Here is a 17,182-nt window from a genome sequence, read left to right as displayed (position 1 = left end):
GTATAGAATAGAATAGAATAGAATGAAAATAAAAGGATGGAAACATACTCCAAACATGGAGACATACCATGGAAACATTAATCAAAAGAAAGCTAGATTGGTTATATAAAAATTAGATAAATAAATAAGAAATACTGGCTGGGCATGGTGGCTCACGCCTGTAATCCTAGCACTCTGGGAGGCTGAAGTGTGTAGATTGCTTGAGCCCAGGAGTTCAAGACCAGCCTGGGCAACATGGTGAAACCCTGTCTCTACAAAAAAAAAAAATACAAAAATTAGCCGGGCATGATAGCATGTGCCTGTAGTCCCAGCTGCTCAGGAGGCTGAGGTGGGAGGATGGCTTGAGCCTGGGAGGCAGAGGTTGCAGTTTGCCAAGATCATGCCCCTGAACTCCAGCCTGGGCAACAGAGTCAGACCATCTCAAAAAAAAGAGAAAGAAAAAAAAAGAAAAGAAAACTACATAATGATAAAAGAGTCAATTCCCAAAGAAGAGATAACAATCCTAAATATATATGCATCTAATAACAGATCATCAAAAGACATGAAGCAAAAACAGATAAAATTGAAAGGAGACATATACAAATCCATAATTATACTTGTAGACTTCAGTGCCTCTCTTTTCAATAATAAATAGAACAAACATCGCTTCTCGGCCTTTTGGCTAAGATCAAGAGTAATAAATAGAACAAGCAGAATAAGGCCAGGTGCAGTGGCTCATGTCTGTAATCCCAGCACTTTGAGAGGCCAAGATGGGAGAATTGCTTGAGCCCAAGAGTTCGAGACCAGCTTGGGCAACAGGGCAAAACCCTGTCTCTACAAAAAAAATACAAAAATCAGGTGGGTTTGGTGGCATGCACCTGTAGTCCCAGCTACCTAGGCTACTTACGCTTGAGCCCAGGAGGTTAAGGCTGCAGCAAACCATGTTTGTGCCACTGCATTCCAGCCTGGGAAACAAAGTAAGACCTTGTCTCAAAAAACATAAAAATAAAAAACAACACTCTGCCCAATTATAGCCAAGTACACATTCTGTTAGTGCACATAGAACATTAAAAGACCTTCTGGGCTATGGAACAAACCTTAGCAACTTTTAAAGATGAAACCAGACAAAGTCTCTTCCTGACCTAATATCTGGATATTAAACAAAAATTTCTAAATCACATGAATCAAAGATAAAATTATAAGGGAAATTAGAAAATATTTTAATAAAATGGAAATGAAAACAGCAAAATCTGTGGGATTCTGCTAATGCAATATTTAGAGGGAAACTGATAAAGGGAAACTGAGACATGCTTTTATTTTTTTAAAAAAGAAATATCTCAACCATCCTGACCAACATGGAGAAACCCCGTGTCTCCTAAAAATACAAAATTAGCCAGGCATGGTGGCACATGCCTGTAATCCCAGCTACACGGGAGGCTGAGGCAGGAGAATCGCTTGAACCCAGGAGATGGAGGTTGCAGTGAGCCGAGATCGTGCCATTGCACTCCAGCCTGGGCAATAAGAACAAAATTCTATCTCAAAAAAAAAAAGAAATATCTCAAATCAATTATTTAAACTTTCACCTTAAAAACTGGAATAGGCTGGGCATGGTGGCTCACACCTATAATCCCAGCACTCTGGGAGATCAAGATGGGAGGGCTGCTTGAGCCCAGGAGCTTGAAACCAGCCTGGGCAAGACAGTGAGACCCAATTCTACAAAAAATAAAAAAATTAGCCAGGCACAGTGGTGTATACCTGTAGTCCCAGCTACTTGGGAGGCTGAGACAGGAAGATCCCTTGAGCCTAAAAGTTTGAAGCAGCAGTGAGCTATGATCACACTTGTACTCCAGCCTAGGCAATAAAATGAGACACCATCTCTTAAAAAACAAACAAAAAGCACAACTAGAAAAAGAGTAAATTATATCCTCCAAAAAGCAAAAGGAAGAGAATGATAAAGTGCATAAATCAAAGAAGCTGAAAAGAAAAACAACAGAGAAAACCAATAAAACCAAAAGCTAATTTTTTGAAAAGACTGATAAAATTGATAAATGTTTAGTCAATCTGTCCAAGCAAAATAGAGGGAAAATATAAATTAGCCAGGCATGGTGGCTTACGCCTGTAATCCCAGCACTTTGGGAGGCCGAGGGGGGTAGATCACCTGAAGTCAAGAGTTCAAGACCAGGAGGAGGAGCCAAGATGGCCGAATAGGAACAGCTCCGGTCTACAGCTCCCAGCGTGAGCGACGCAGAAGACGGGTGATTTCTGCATTTCCATCTGAGGTACCTTACCGGGTTCATCTCACTAGGGAGTGCCAGACAGTGGGCGCAGGCCAGTGTGTGTGCGCACCGTGCGCGAGCCGAAGCAGGGCGAGGCATTGCCTCACCTGGGAAGCGCAAGGGGTCAGGGAGTTCCCTTTCCGAGTCAAAGAAAGGGGTGACAGACGCACCTGGAAAATCGGGTCACTCCCACCCGAATATTGCGCTTTTCAGACCGGCTTAAGAAACGGCGCACCATGAGATTATATCCCACACCTGGCTCAGAGGGTCCTACGCCCACGGAGTCTCGCTGATTGCTAGCACAGCAGTCTGAGATCAAACTACAAGGCAGCAACGAGGCTGGGGGAGGGGCGCCGGCCATTGCCCAGGCTTGATTAGGTAAACAAAGCAGCCAGGAAGCTCGAACTGGGTGGAGCCCACCACAGCTCAAGGAGGCCTGCCTGCCTCTGTAGGCTCCACCTCTGGGGGCAGGGCACAGACAAACAAAAAGACAGCAGTAACCTCTGCAGACTTAAGTGTCCCTGTCTGACAGCTTTGAAGAGAGCAGTGGTTCTCCCAGCACGCAGCTGGAGATCTGAGAACGGGCAGACTGCCTCCTCAAGTGAGTCCCTGACCCCTGACCCCCGAGCAGCCTAACTGGGAGGCACCCCCAAGCAGGGGCACACTGACACCTCACACAGCAGGGTATTCCAACAGACCTGCAGCTGAGGGTCCTGTCTGTTAGAAGGAAAACTAACAACCAGAAAGGACATCTACACCGAAAACCCATCTGTACATCACCATCATCAAAGACCAAAAGTAGATAAAACCACAAAGATGGGGAAAAAACAGAACAGAAAAACTGGAAACTCTAAAACGCAGAGCGCCTCTCCTCCTCCAAAGGAACGCAGTTCCTCACCAGCAACAGAACAAAGCTGGATGGAGAATGATTTTGACGAGCTGAGAGAAGAAGGCTTCAGACGATCAAATTACTCTGAGCTACGGGAGGACATTCAAACCAAAGGCAAAGAAGTTCAAAACTTTGAAAAAAATTTAGAAGAATGTATAACTAGAATAACCAATACAGAGAAGTGCTTAAAGGAGCTGATGGAGCTGAAAACCAAGGCTCGAGAACTACGTGAAGAATGCAGAAGCCTCAGGAGCCGATGCGATCAACTGGAAGAAAGGGTATCAGCAATGGAAGATGAAATGAATGAAATGAAGCGAGAAGGGAAGTTTAGAGAAAAAAGAATAAAAAGAAATGAGCAAAGCCTCCAAGAAATATGGGACTATGTGAAAAGACCAAATCTACGTCTGATTGGTGTACCTGAAAGTGATGTGGAGAATGGAACCAAGTTGGAAAACACTCTGCAGGATATTATCCAGGAGAACTTCCCCAATCTAGCAAGGCAGGCCAACGTTCAGATTCAGGAAATACAGAGAACGCCACAAAGATACTCCTCGAGAAGAGCAACTCCAAGACACATAATTGTCAGATTCACCAAAGTTGAAATGAAGGAAAAAATGTTAAGGGCAGCCAGAGAGAAAGGTCAGGTTACCCTCAAAGGAAAGCCCATCAGACTAACAGCGGATCTCTCGGCAGAAACCCTACAAGCCAGAAGAGAGTGGGGGCCAATATTCAACATTCTTAAAGAAAAGAATTTTCAACCCAGAATTTCATATCCAGCCAAACTAAGCTTCATAAGTGAAGGAGAAATAAAATACTTTATAGACAAGCAAATGCTGAGAGATTTTGTCACCACCAGGCCTGCCCTAAAAGAGCTCCTGAAGGAAGCGCTAAACATGGAAAGGAACAACCGGTACCAGCCACTGCAAAATCATGCCAAAATGTAAAGACCATCGAGACTAGGAAGAAACTGCATCAACTAATGAGCAAAATCACCAGCTAACATCATAATGACAGGATCAAATTCACACATAACAATATTAACTTTAAATATAAATGGACTAAATTCTGCAATTAAAAGACACAGACTGGCAAGTTGGATAGAGTCAAGACCCATCAGTGTGCTGTATTCAGGAAACCCATCTCACGTGCAGAGACACACATAGGCTCAAAATAAAAGGATGGAGGAAGATCTACCAAGCCAATGGAAAACAAAAAAAGGCAGGGGCTGCAATCCTAGTCTCTGATAAAACAGACTTTAAATCAACAAAGATCAAAAGAGACAAAGAAGGCCATTACATAATGGTAAAGGGATCAATTCAACAAGAGGAGCTAACTATCCTAAATATTTATGCACCCAATACAGGAGCACCCAGATTCATAAAGCAAGTCCTCAGTGACCTACAAAGAGACTTAGACTCCCACACATTAATAATGGGAGACTTTAACACCCCACTGTCAACATTAGACAGATCAACGAGACAGAAAGTCAACAAGGATACCCAGGAATTGAACTCAGCTCTGCACCAAGCAGACCTAATAGACATCTACAGAACTCTCCACCCCAAATCAACAGAATATACATTTTTTTCAGCACCACACCACACCTATTCCAAAATTGACCACATAGTTGGAAGTAAAGCTCTCCTCAGCAAATGTAAAAGAACAGAAATTATAACAAACTATCTCTCAGACCACAGTGCAATCAAACTAGAACTCAGGATTAAGAATCTCACTCAAAGCCACTCAACTACATGGAAACTGAACAACCTGCTCCTGAATGACTACTGGGTACATAACGAAATGAAGGCAGAAATAAAGATGTTCTTTGAAACCAATGAGAACAAAGACACCACATACCAGAATCTCTGGGACGCATTCAAAGCAGTGTGTAGAGGGAAATTTATAGCACTAAATGCCTACAAGAGAAAGCAGGAAAGATCCAAAATTGACACCTAACATCACAATTAAAAGAACTAGAAAAGCAAGAGCAAACACATTCAAAAGCTAGCAGAAGGCAAGAAATAACTAAAATCAGAGCAGAACTGAAGGAAATAGAGACACAAAAAACCCTTCAAAAAATCAATGAATCCAGGAGCTGGTTTTTTCAAAGGATCAACAAAATTGATAGACCGCTAGCAAGACTAATAAAGAAAAAAAGAGAGAAGAATCAAATAGACACAATAAAAAATGATAAAGGGGATATCACCACCGATCCCACAGAAATACAAACTACCATCAGAGAATACTACAAACACCTCTACGCAAATAAACTAGAAAATCTAGAAGAAATGGATACATTCCTCGACACATACACTCTCCCAAGACTAAACCAGGAAGAAGTTGAATCTCTGAATAGACCAATAACAGGCTCTGAAATTGTGGCAATAATCAATAGTTTACCAACCAAAAAGAGTCCAGGACCAGATGGATTCACAGCCGAATTCTACCAGAGGTACAAGGAGGAACTGGTACCATTCCTTCTGAAACTATTCCAATCAATAGAAAAAGAGGGAATCCTCCCTAACTCATTTTATGAGGCCAGCATCATTCTGATACCAAAGCCGGGCAGAGACACAACCAAAAAAGAGAATTTTAGACCAATATCCTTGATGAACATTGATGCAAAAATCCTCAATAAAATACTGGCAAACCGAATCCAGCAGCACATCAAAAAGCTTATCCACCATGATCAAGTGGGCTTCATCCCTGGGATGCAAGGCTGGTTCAATATACGCAAATCAATAAATGTAATCCAGCATATAAACAGAGCCAAAGACAAAAACCACATGATTATCTCAATAGATGCAGAAAAAGCCTTTGACAAAATTCAACAACCCTTCATGCTAAAAACTCTCAATAAATTAGGTATTGATGGGACGTATTTCAAAATAATAAGAGCTATCTATGACAAACCCACAGCCAATATCATACTGAATGGGCAAAAACTGGAAGCATTCCCTTTGAAAACTGGCACAAGACAGGGATGCCCTCTCTCACCGCTCCTATTCAACATAGTATTGGAAGTTCTGGCCAGGGCAATCAGGCAGGAGAAGGAAATAAAGGGTATTCAATTAGGAAAAGAGGAAGTCAAATTGTCCCTGTTTGCAGACGACATGATTGTTTATCTAGAAAACCCCATCGTCTCAGCCCAAAATCTCCTTAAGCTGATAAGCAACTTCAGCAAAGTCTCAGGATACAAAATCAATGTACAAAAATCACAAGCATTCTTATACACCAACAACAGACAAACAGAGAGCCAAATCATGGGTGAACTCCCATTCACAATTGCTTCAAAGAGAATAAAATACCTAGGAATCCAACTTATAAGGGATGTGAAGGACCTCTTCAAGGAGAACTACAAACCACTGCTCAAGGAAATAAAAGAGGACACAAACAAATGGAAGAACATTCCATGCTCATGGGTAGGAAGAATCAATATCGTGAAAATGGCCATACTGCCCAAGGTAATTTACAGATTCAATGCCATCCCCATCAAGCTACCAATGACTTTCTTCACAGAATTGGAAAAAACTACTTTAAAGTTCATATGGAACCAAAAAAGAGCCCGCATCGCCAAGTCAATCCTAAGCCAAAAGAACAAAGCTGGAGGCATCACACTACCTGACTTCAAACTATACTACAAGGCTACAGTAACCAAAACAGCATGGTACTGGTACCAAAACAGAGATATAGATCAATGGAACAGAACAGAGCCCTCAGAAATAATGCCGCATATCTACAACTATCTGATCTTTGACAAACCTGAGAAAAACAAGCAATGGGGAAAGGATTCCCTATTTAATAAATGGTGCTGGGAAAACTGGCTAGCCATATGTAGAAAGCTGAAACTGGATCCCTTCCTTACACCTTATACAAAAATCAATTCAAGATGGATTAAAGATTTAAACGTTAAACCTAAAACCATAAAAACCCTAGAAGAAAACCTAGGCATTACCATTCAGGACATAGGCGTGGGCAAGGACTTCATGTCCAAAACACCAAAAGCAATGGCAACAAAAGCCAAAATTGACAAATGGGATCTCATTAAACTAAAGAGCTTCTGCACAGCAAAAGAAACTACCATCAGAGTGAACAGGCAACCTACAACATGGGAGAAAATTTTCGCAACCTACTCATCTGACAAAGGGCTAATATCCAGAATCTACAATGAACTCAAACAAATTTACAAGAAAAAAACAAACAACCCCATCAAAAAGTGGGCGAAGGACATGAACAGAGACTTCTCAAAAGAAGACATTTATGCAGCCAAAAAACACATGAAGAAATGCTCATCATCACTGGCCATCAGAGAAATGCAAATCAAAACCACTATGAGATATCATCTCACACCAGTTAGAATGGCAATCATTAAAAAGTCAGGAAACAACAGGTGCTGGAGAGGATGCGGAGAAATAGGAACACTTTTACACTGTTGGTGGGACTGTAAACTAGTTCAACCATTGTGGAAGTCAGTGTGGCGATTCCTCAGGGATCTAGAACTAGAAATACCATTTGACCCAGCCATCCCATTACTGGGTATATACCCAAATGAGTATAAATCATGCTGCTATAAAGACACATGCACACGTATGTTTATTGCGGCACTATTCACAATAGCAAAGACTTGGAACCAACCCAAATGTCCAACAATGATAGACTGGATTAAGAAAATGTGGCATATATACACCATGGAATACTATGCAGCCATAAAAAATGATGAGTTCATATCCTTTGTAGGGACATGGATGAAATTGGAAACCATCATTCTCAGTAAACTATCGCAAGAACAAAAAACCAAACACCGCATATTCTCACTCATAGGTGGGAACTGAACAATGAGATCACATGGACACAGGAAGGGGAATATCACACTCTGGGGACTGTGGTGGGGTCGGGGGAGGGGGGAGGGATAGCATTGGGAGATATACCTAATGCTAGATGACACATTAGTGGGTGCAGCGCACCAGCATGGCACATGTATACATATGTAACTAACCTGCACAATGTGCACATGTACCCTAAAACTTAGAGTATAATAAAAAAAAAAAAAAAAAAAAGAAGTTTACGGATAAAAGAATGAGAAGTAGACTGACATTGTACTTTTCATCAACGTGTTGAATGCCTAAAGAATGGAAGGAAAATAAGCTTAAAATTTTGAATCTATGATAAAGAAAACTATTGATTAAAAAAAAAAAAAAAAAAAAGAGTTCAAGACCAGACTGACCAACATGGAGAAACCCTGTCTCTACTAAAAGTACAAAATTAGCCCAGCGTGGTGGCACATGCCTGTAATCCCAGCTACTTGGGAGGCTGAGGCAGGAGAATCACTTGAACCCAGGAGGTAGAGGTTGTGGTGAGCCGAGATCGCACCATTGCACTCCAGCCTGGGCAACAAGAGCAAAACTCTGTCTCAAAAAAATAAATAAATAAATAAATATATAAATATATATATATATATACACACACACACACACATACACACACACATATAACCATTATCAGAAACGAAAGAGGAGACATCATTACAGAACCTGCAGACATTAAAAGGAAAATAAAGGAATATTACAAAAAATTTTTGACCATAAATTAGACAACTTATATGAAACAATTCTTTGAAAGGCATAGACGCCAAAGCTCCTTCAAGAAGAAACACGTAATCCAAAAAGATACAATTAAGTTACCTTATTATATGTTTGATTTGTAGTAAGATACTACTTTCTAGGGTAATGTTCAAAGCACTTGTTAGGTACTGATTGAACTCCTTGAAGAACATTTCATTTCCTTCTTCATACTTCCCGTAGTTCTTTGAATACTCTTTTTGAATGCAGTGATTGGTCAAATGGCAGGTTTTGTCTTGGAAATTATCAACATGATATGGTTCTGAAGCAGTCCGAAGCACACCCTCTCTATAGAGGTAGATATTATACTGATGATCCACCAAGACCCAGCTTCTGCAATTCAACAAAAACACTGCTTTACTCAAGTCATCCAAAGTTTCTGCATATTATATACATCAATCCCCACATCTTGACTTCTTTTATGGGGTAGGTAAGGAGTGGGAGGCAACTAGGGAAGGAGGAAGTTTCTAAAACTATAAGAGGCATGTTATGATTTAGCTAAGATAGTGAGTTATCACTACAATGAGGCAAACAAAACATTTTACCATAAATAACAGGGAAATTTGATCAAAAGATAAAAAAATCAGATGATTTTTTTTTTTTTTTTGAGATGGAGTTTTGCTTTTGTTGCCCAGGCTGGAGTGCAATGGTGTGATCTCGGCTCACTGCAACCTCCGCCTTCCGGGTTCAAGCAATTCTCCTGCCTCAGCCTCCTCAGTAGCTGGGATTACAGGCGCATGCCACCACGCCCGGGTGATTTTTGTATTTTTTGTAGAGACAGGGTTTCACCATGTTAGCCAGGCTGGTCTCAAAATACTGACATCAGGTGATCCACCCACCTTGGCCTCTCAAAGTGCTGGGATTACAGGCATGAGCCACCACACCAAGCCCTGGATGGGTTGGATTTTAAGGTTAACCTATGAAACCTCCATTTGTTATGTCTCCTCTTTGAGTAATCTTAAAGAGTGTTCCTCCTGAAGATGATCTGACCTATGTTGATGTTCAAGAAGCGACAAATCGTTATGAAGCAATCAAGGAGACAGAGTCCTTGGCAATGAGCTGACAGCAAGGCCAAGGGTAAGTTGGAGAGGGAGGGCTGTTTAGCTTTAGAATGCACCACACAACCTCTTTCTCCATGCCAAGCCCTTTGCTCAGAAACTTAAAATCCCCTGAGGTGTGGTCATAAAATCCACAGAGTGGGACACAAACAATGAAGTGAGGAGAAATTATTTGGCAAGGTTGCACAACCTGTTGTGTCTGAATTACGTGTTCCATGCACATCTCTCAGTTTATTCCATGAGCAAGACCATACATTTATATTCATTTCTTTGAATCCACAAGTCATTTTTATAGAAAAGATTTTTTTTTTTTTTTTTTTGACACAGGAGTCTCACTCTGTTACCCAGGCTGGAGTGCAATGGTGCAATCTCAGCTCACTGCAACCTCCCCTCCCTGGTTCAAGTGATTCTCCTTCCTCAGCCTCCTGAGTAGATGGGATTACAGGTGCCTGCCACCATGCCTGGCTAATTTTGTATTTTTACTAGAGACGGGGTTTCACCATGTTGGCCAGGCTGGTCTCGAACTCCTGACCTCAGGTGATCCATCCACCCTGGCCTCCCAAAGTGCTGGGATTACAAGCGTGAGCCACTGTGCCCAGCCAGAAAAGAATATTTTTTAAAAAAGAAAATCCATAATCGTAGTAACATTTTCTAGATGGAAAAAACAAGAAAGAAAAATAGAAAATTAGGTACAGAAGGTAAGTTCCATTCAGCTGTGCTCAATTTTGGTAACATATTAAACATGGTCAAACGCTTCCTCATATTCCATGTCCCCCTTCCCACCACATACCATGGCAGTTTTTTCAGATGAATAAAAACAAAAGCTATGGACATGAATGCATTACCGGATGTCAAACTTGCGATGACCTGGCTCAAGCAGCAGAGGGTGCTCAAGATATTTCTGGATCACGTGCACTTGGCCCTGGTTGTCTATGAAATCGAGAAGCTCTGAAGCCTCTGAGGAGATGAGAATGCCTTCACCTAACAGGGAAAAAGCAAAAGACAAACCAATCCAATTCAAACCAAGAGCTCTCTATAAATCCAGAAAGGAAATACGAACAGCAAAAACCCCACAAGAGGCTTTCAATGTCCCGCTCACCTTTTTCCCTCCCTTCCTTACTCCAGTCCCCCACATGCTCCCTTCTCCCCTCAAGAGCACCCAGGATTATCCTACCAACTCTTTCTCCATACAGGTGTCAACGCTATCTTGGCTGGCTACAACCATGAAACGTCAGTTTTACAGAAATTCGTAGTGCCTAAGCACTCAAAATAAATACCATTCTATTACTAGTCACTGGCTACCACAATAAAGACTATAACAACAATAAATCCCCTTCCTTCACTATATCTTATAGAACTACCAGGAAGATAAAGGCATAAAGATGAATGTTCAAGTACGTCCCTTGCAGCATTGCAATAGAAAAAACTGGATACATTGGAATTGTCCATTAACATTAAATAATTGATATATCCTTTTTAATAGCTTGAAGTATAATTCATATACCAAAAAATTTATCCTTTTAAAGTGCACAGTTCAATGGCTTTGAGTATATTCAAGAGTTTTAAACCATTACTACAGTTTTTGTTGTTATTTCTTTGTTTGTTTGTTTGTTTTTGAGATGGAGTCTCACTCTGTCGCCCAGGATGGAGTGCAGTGGCGCAATCTCAGCTCACTGTAACCTTCGCCTCCTGGGTTCAAGCAATTCTCCTGCCTCAGCCTCCCAAGTAGCTGGGATTACAGGCGTGCACCACCATGCCTGGCTAATTTTTGTATTTTTAGTACATATGGGGTTTCACCATGTTGGCCAGGATGGTCTTGGTCTTCTGACCTCGTGATCTGCCTGCCTTGGCCTCCCAAAGTGCTGGGATTACAGGTGTGAGCCACCATGCCCGGCCTACTACAGTTTAATTTTAGAACGGTTTCACCACTCCCCCCAAAAAAACTCTTGTACCTATTAGCAGTCACTCACTACTCCCTCCTCACCCCAGCTTCTGACAACCACTAATCTACTTTCTGTATCTATGGATGTCTCATCTGGACATTTCATATAAATGGAATCACACAGTATGTGGCCTTTTGTGTCTAATTTCACTTAGCACAAAGTTTTCAAGGCTCATCCCCATTGTAGTGTGTATTAGTATCATGTTCACTCCTTTCTATGGCTGAAGTCATTTTTGTTCATTTAGTCATCAATTGATGGACGTTTGCATTGGTTCCATTCTTGTCTGCCTCTTATGAATAATGCTGCTATAAGATTTGCATACAAGTTTTTATGAACATATATTTTCAATTCTCAGGAATACTACGTATGCAGGTGTGTGACACCACATTGGCTAATTTTTGTATTTTTTTTGTAGAGCTGGGGTCTTACTGTTTGCTCTTTTTCTAATTGGATTGTGTGTCTGTTGTTTACTGTTAAGTTTTGAAAGTTGTTTACATATTCTAGATCTGAGTCCCTTGTCATATGTATGACTTAAAAATCCTTTCACCCAGTTTGTAACTCATTTTTATCCTCTAATGAGGTGTTTCATAGAGCAGAAGTTTTATTTTGATGAGGTTCAATTTATCAATTTTTACTTTTATGGATTACACTTTTGGAGTCAAGCTCAAGAACTCTTTGCCAAGCCCTATCTCCTTTTTTCTGAAAAATTATTAGGTCCACGATCCATTTTGAGTTAGTTTTTGTATGAGGTGTGAAGCTTATGTTGATGTTCATTTTTCTGCCTGTTGATATCCACCTTATCTAGTACAATTTGTTGAAAAGTTTATCCTTCCTCTATTGAATGGCTTTTGCACCTTTTTCAAATATCAGATGGGCATATATGTTTTGGTCTATTTCTGAGTTCTCTATTCTCTTCCACTGATTTATGTTTCTTCTGTTTTTGAGACAGAGTCTTGCTCTGTCACACAGTGGTGTGATCTCGGCTCACAGCAACCTCTGCCCCCTGGTTCAAGCAATTCTCATGCCTCAGCCTCCCGAGTAGCTGAAAGTACAGGCATGCGCCACCACACCTGGCTAATTTTTTTGTATTCTTAGTAGAGATGGGGTTTCACCATGTTGGCCAGGCTTGTCTCGAACTCCTGACCTCAGGTGATTCAGCCGCCTTGGCCTCTGCTGGGATTTCAGCCGAGAGCCACCGTGCCTGGCCCCACTGATTTATGTTTCTATTTTTTCATGAATACTACAGTGTATTAAGTACTATAGCTCTAAAATACATCTTAATATCAGGTAGCATGTTCACTTATATTCTTCTTTTTCAAGATGTTTAAGCTATTCTAGGGCTTGTGCCTTTCCATATGAATTTTTATTATTTATTTATTGATTGAGATGGAGTCTTGGTCTTGTCGCCTAGGCTGGGCCCAAGCGATTCTTCTGCCTCAGCCTCCTAAATACCTGCGATTACAGGCGCCCGCCACCATGCCTGGCTAATTTTTGTATTTTTTAGTAGGAACAGGGTTTCACCATGTTGGCCAGCCTGGTCTCGAACTCCTGACCTCCGGTGATCCACCCGCCTTGGCCTCCCAAAGTGCTGGGATTACAAGTGTGAGCCACCGTGCCCGGCCCCTCCATGTAAATTTTAAAAGAAGCTCCATGTCTATACAAAAATGTTGCTAACATTTTGATAAGAACTACATAAACCTATAGACCAGTTTAGGGTGAACTGACATCTTTACTATACTGTCCTGCAATCCATGAACACGGTATGTCTGTCCATTTCTTTAGGTCCTCTTTGACTTCCTTCATAATCATTTTACTATTTTTAGCACACAGAGCCTATACATGTCTTGTTAAATTTATACCCAAGCATCACATTTTCTCTAGGGTGACTGTAAGTAGTACTGTAGTTTTTTGGTTTTTTTTTAGACGGAATTTTTGCTCTCTTGCCCAAGCTGGAGTGCAATGGTGCGATCTCAGCTCACTGCAACCTCTGCCTCCTGGGTTCAAGCGATTCTCCCACCTCAGCCTCTTGAGTAACAGGGATTACAGGTGACTGCCACCAAGCCCGGCTAATTTGTGTATTTTTATAGAGACAGGGTTTCAGCAAGTCAGCCAGACTGGTCTCGAACTCCTGACCTCAGGTGATCCGCCCGCCTTGGATTCTCAAAGTGCTGGGATTACAGGTGTGAGCCACTGCGCCCAGCTAAGTAGTTTTGTGTTTTTAACTTTGGTTTCCACATGTTCATTGTTGGCACATAAAAATGTGATTAAGTTTTGTGTGTTGCTCTCATATCCCGTAACATGGCTGAACTCACTCTTTAGTGAGTTGTCACCACTTCTTATTATAACCATTTTAATAAAAGTGTAGTGACAGTTCGTTGTGGTTTCAGTTTGCTAGAATCTTCTGATCTATGCTTTAGATTTATAGCTGATTTCTACCTGGATCTCATGCTTTCTTTATAAATGAATTCAATTCAGTTCATTAATTCAATGATCCACCTTTCCCAAACGTTAACGCCCTTTTCAACTATCTTCTTCCTGTCACTTGTTCGACCATCTGGTGAGCTTCTTGAACAAGAAACTGCAAATCAACCTGGAAAAGCTCCCTTATTCTCTTCCCCTACACACATGACTCATGCTGTTTCATCTCCCTTAGGAATCAGACTCAGATTTTTTGATACAACAGTATCAAAAATTATAAAATAAATTTGAATTTTATGTATCGTTTTATACCTACAAAATAAGAAAACAAAAATGGTGATACTTTTAGTAAAAGTTCGTCATGAACTGCTCCCTGTTAGCTCACGGCCCTTTGAAAAAGCAAGAGGATAACACAGAGCAAGAGCCATAAAGGCTTCATATCATTTGACCAAGTAATCTCATGTTTCAAACTTACTCTAATGAAATTTTTAAGAAGAAACAAGAGTCAAGGCTGGGTGTGATGGCTCATGCCTGTAATCCCAGCACTTCGGGAGGCTTGAGGTGGGAAGATCACTTGAGCTCAGGAGTTCAAGAACAGCCTGGGTAACACAGTGAGACTTCATCTCTACTAAAAATCAAAAAATTAACAGGGTGTGGTGGTGCACGGCTGTCGTCCCAGCTACTCAAGAGCTTGAGATGGGAGCGGGCCCGGGCACGGTGGCTCACGCCTGTAATCCCAGCACTTTGGGAGGCTGAGGCGGGCGGATCACGAGGTCAGGAGATCGAGACCATCCTGGCTAATGTGGTGAAACCCTGTCTCAACTAAAAGTACAAAAAATTAGCCGGGTGTGGTGGCTGGTACCTGTAGTCCCAGCTACTCGGGATACTGAGGCAGGAGAATGGCGTGAACCTGGGAGGCGGAGCTTGCAGTGAGCTGAGATGGCACCACTGCACTCCAGCCTGGGTGACAGAGTGAGACTCTGTCTCAAAAAAAAGAGGTTGAGTTGGGAGGATCGCTTGAGCCCAGGAAGTCGAGGCTGTAGTGAACTGAGATCATGCCATCTCACTCCAGCCTGGGCAACAAAGTGAGACCTTGTCTCAAAAAAAAAAAAAAAATACACACACACACACACACACACACACACACACACACACACACAGACACATATATATATAAAATAAAAAATTAAAATTAAAAAAGAAACAAGGGTCATCTACAGCAAAGACATTTACTACTGTTATCTGTAATAGTGGAATAATGGGGTTGTTTCTAAACAATAATTTTCTGTTATAGATGTAGTGTGTTCCCACGCTCCAGGTGAGAGGTGAAGGTGGCTAGATTAGAAATAGGCAGTGGACATGGTAAACAGTAGCTTCATAATGGGTAGAGTTTGAAGGTTGAGCCAACTATACAAAGCATGTAGTGGGTACCAAATAAATACTTGTTTAACAAGAATAAAAACCATTCATTCATCCTATTGGTTTCATTTTATGGTTTCCAAACATAATAAATATATATCAAATATATATCTCTTCAACTCTTAAAGCAAAAAGTCTTTAGCATTTTATTCTCTCTTGACTTCCCCCTGCTGCTTGGTGTCCCTCTGAGTCTTGTCTTAGTGAGGGTCCAGGGATCACCAGGTGTCCTCACAGTGGCCATTCTGACTCCAATCCCAAACCCACAGGAGAAGGGATGTCTATTTCCTCTTCCAAATCCGTCATTTACCATTGGAACCACACTAGGGGGCAGTAGTTGAGAAAAGGTCACAAGAGGGGAGAGAGAAGTAGGTGAGATACCTGACTTGTGGCAAGAGTCCAACTCTCCCCCTTTCAGGGATACCAGTTGAGGCCTTCCTGTCTCATCGCTGGTGGAAAAGAAGGTGAGGTCCCTTCGACCCGGAACAGAAATGAGTACCAATGGCTAGATGTCTTCCAAGGCAATACAAGAAGTGAGTTCAAAATGGAATGGTTTTTTTTTTAATTTTTGAGAAGGAGTCTTGTTCTGTCACCCAGGCTGAAGGTGCGATCTCAGCTTACTGCAAGCTCCACTTCCCGGGTTCACGCCATTCTCCTGCCTCAGCCTCCCGAGTAGCTGGGACTACAGGCACCCGCCACCACACCCAGCTAATTTTTTGTATTTTTAGTAGAGACGGGGTTTCACCGTGTTAGCCAGGATGGTCTCAATCTCCTGACCTTGTGATCCGCCCGCCTCGGCTTCCCAAAGCGATGGGGTTACAGGCAGTGAGCCACTATGCCCAGCCAGAATGGTTTTATAAAGAGCGTATGAGGGCATTAACATAGACAGAGATTGTTTATGTGTTCATTACATTGGGAACTGCCTCTATTTTCAGCCTGAGTTAACATTATAAACCTTACCCCTTACATGCATTCATTCAACATATATTTGTTGACTGCCTATGAGGAAGGTACAAGGATGAATAAGACAGAATGTCTGTGTTTGTGTGAAGCCTACAGAATAATAGGAGAGATGGACAGAGAAGTAGTATAGTGCCAGGAAAAGGTTAATGTCAGGAGGTAAATGAGGCAGGGGAAAGGGAAAGAAAGCAATGGACACGGAGGCTATTTTAGATTAGAAAAGCCTTCCCTGAGGAGCCAGCAACTGAGGTAAGAGAAACAAAACAATCCATGTAAGCACATTCTAGGTACAGAGACAAGTTTGGAATATTCGAGAGATACTAGGCAGTCTTTGTGTCTACAGTGCAGAGAGCAAAGCTGAGGATAGAAGGAGATGAGATCAGAGATATGGGCAAATGTCAAATGGTGCAGGCTACCATTAGGAATCCGGAGTTCATTCTAATTGCATTAGGAAGCCAGCTGGTAAGTCTTAAGTAGGAAGTAACATGATTAGATTTACGTTTTGAAAACATTATTGTCTGGAAGGAGAACTGGTTGAGAGCAGGCTCGGCAGTTACACACAGTAAAAAGAATGGGGGTTTTGATTTAGAGGGGAAGCAGGGGAAACGGCAAGAAATAGTCTATT

At 41.6% G+C, this 17,182-nt stretch overlaps 1 protein-coding gene across 4 annotated transcripts in view, besides 1 other annotated feature; it reads right to left on the bottom strand.

Moving 5' to 3' along the window:
- Positions 1–17,182, bottom strand: part of TTL (tubulin tyrosine ligase) — a 59,584-nt gene that overhangs the window by 29,733 nt on the left and 12,669 nt on the right. For all 4 annotated transcript variants that reach the window (NM_153712.5, NM_001371712.1, XM_011510665.3 and 1 more), the window contains exons 4-5: positions 10,666–10,801; positions 8,826–9,095 (exon numbers count right to left, since the gene is read on the bottom strand). In NM_153712.5, coding sequence (NP_714923.1) covers positions 8,826–9,095; positions 10,666–10,801 — 406 coding nt within the window. The remainder of the gene's footprint in view (positions 1–8,825; positions 9,096–10,665; positions 10,802–17,182) is intronic.
- Positions 10,739–10,788: a silencer, noted in NCBI's record as "silent region_11874". NCBI's record gives its function as "represses an Ori minimal core promoter by ATAC-STARR-seq in GM12878 lymphoblastoid cells {active_cell/tissue: GM12878}" and the evidence as "EXISTENCE:reporter gene assay evidence [ECO:0000049][PMID:35858748]".

This window comes from Homo sapiens, chromosome 2 (assembly GCF_000001405.40).
Source record: "Homo sapiens chromosome 2, GRCh38.p14 Primary Assembly".
NCBI lineage: Eukaryota > Metazoa > Chordata > Mammalia > Primates > Hominidae > Homo > Homo sapiens.
Note: the sequence above shows the minus strand (reverse complement) of the source record. Positions and strands in the feature narration are given on the sequence as shown.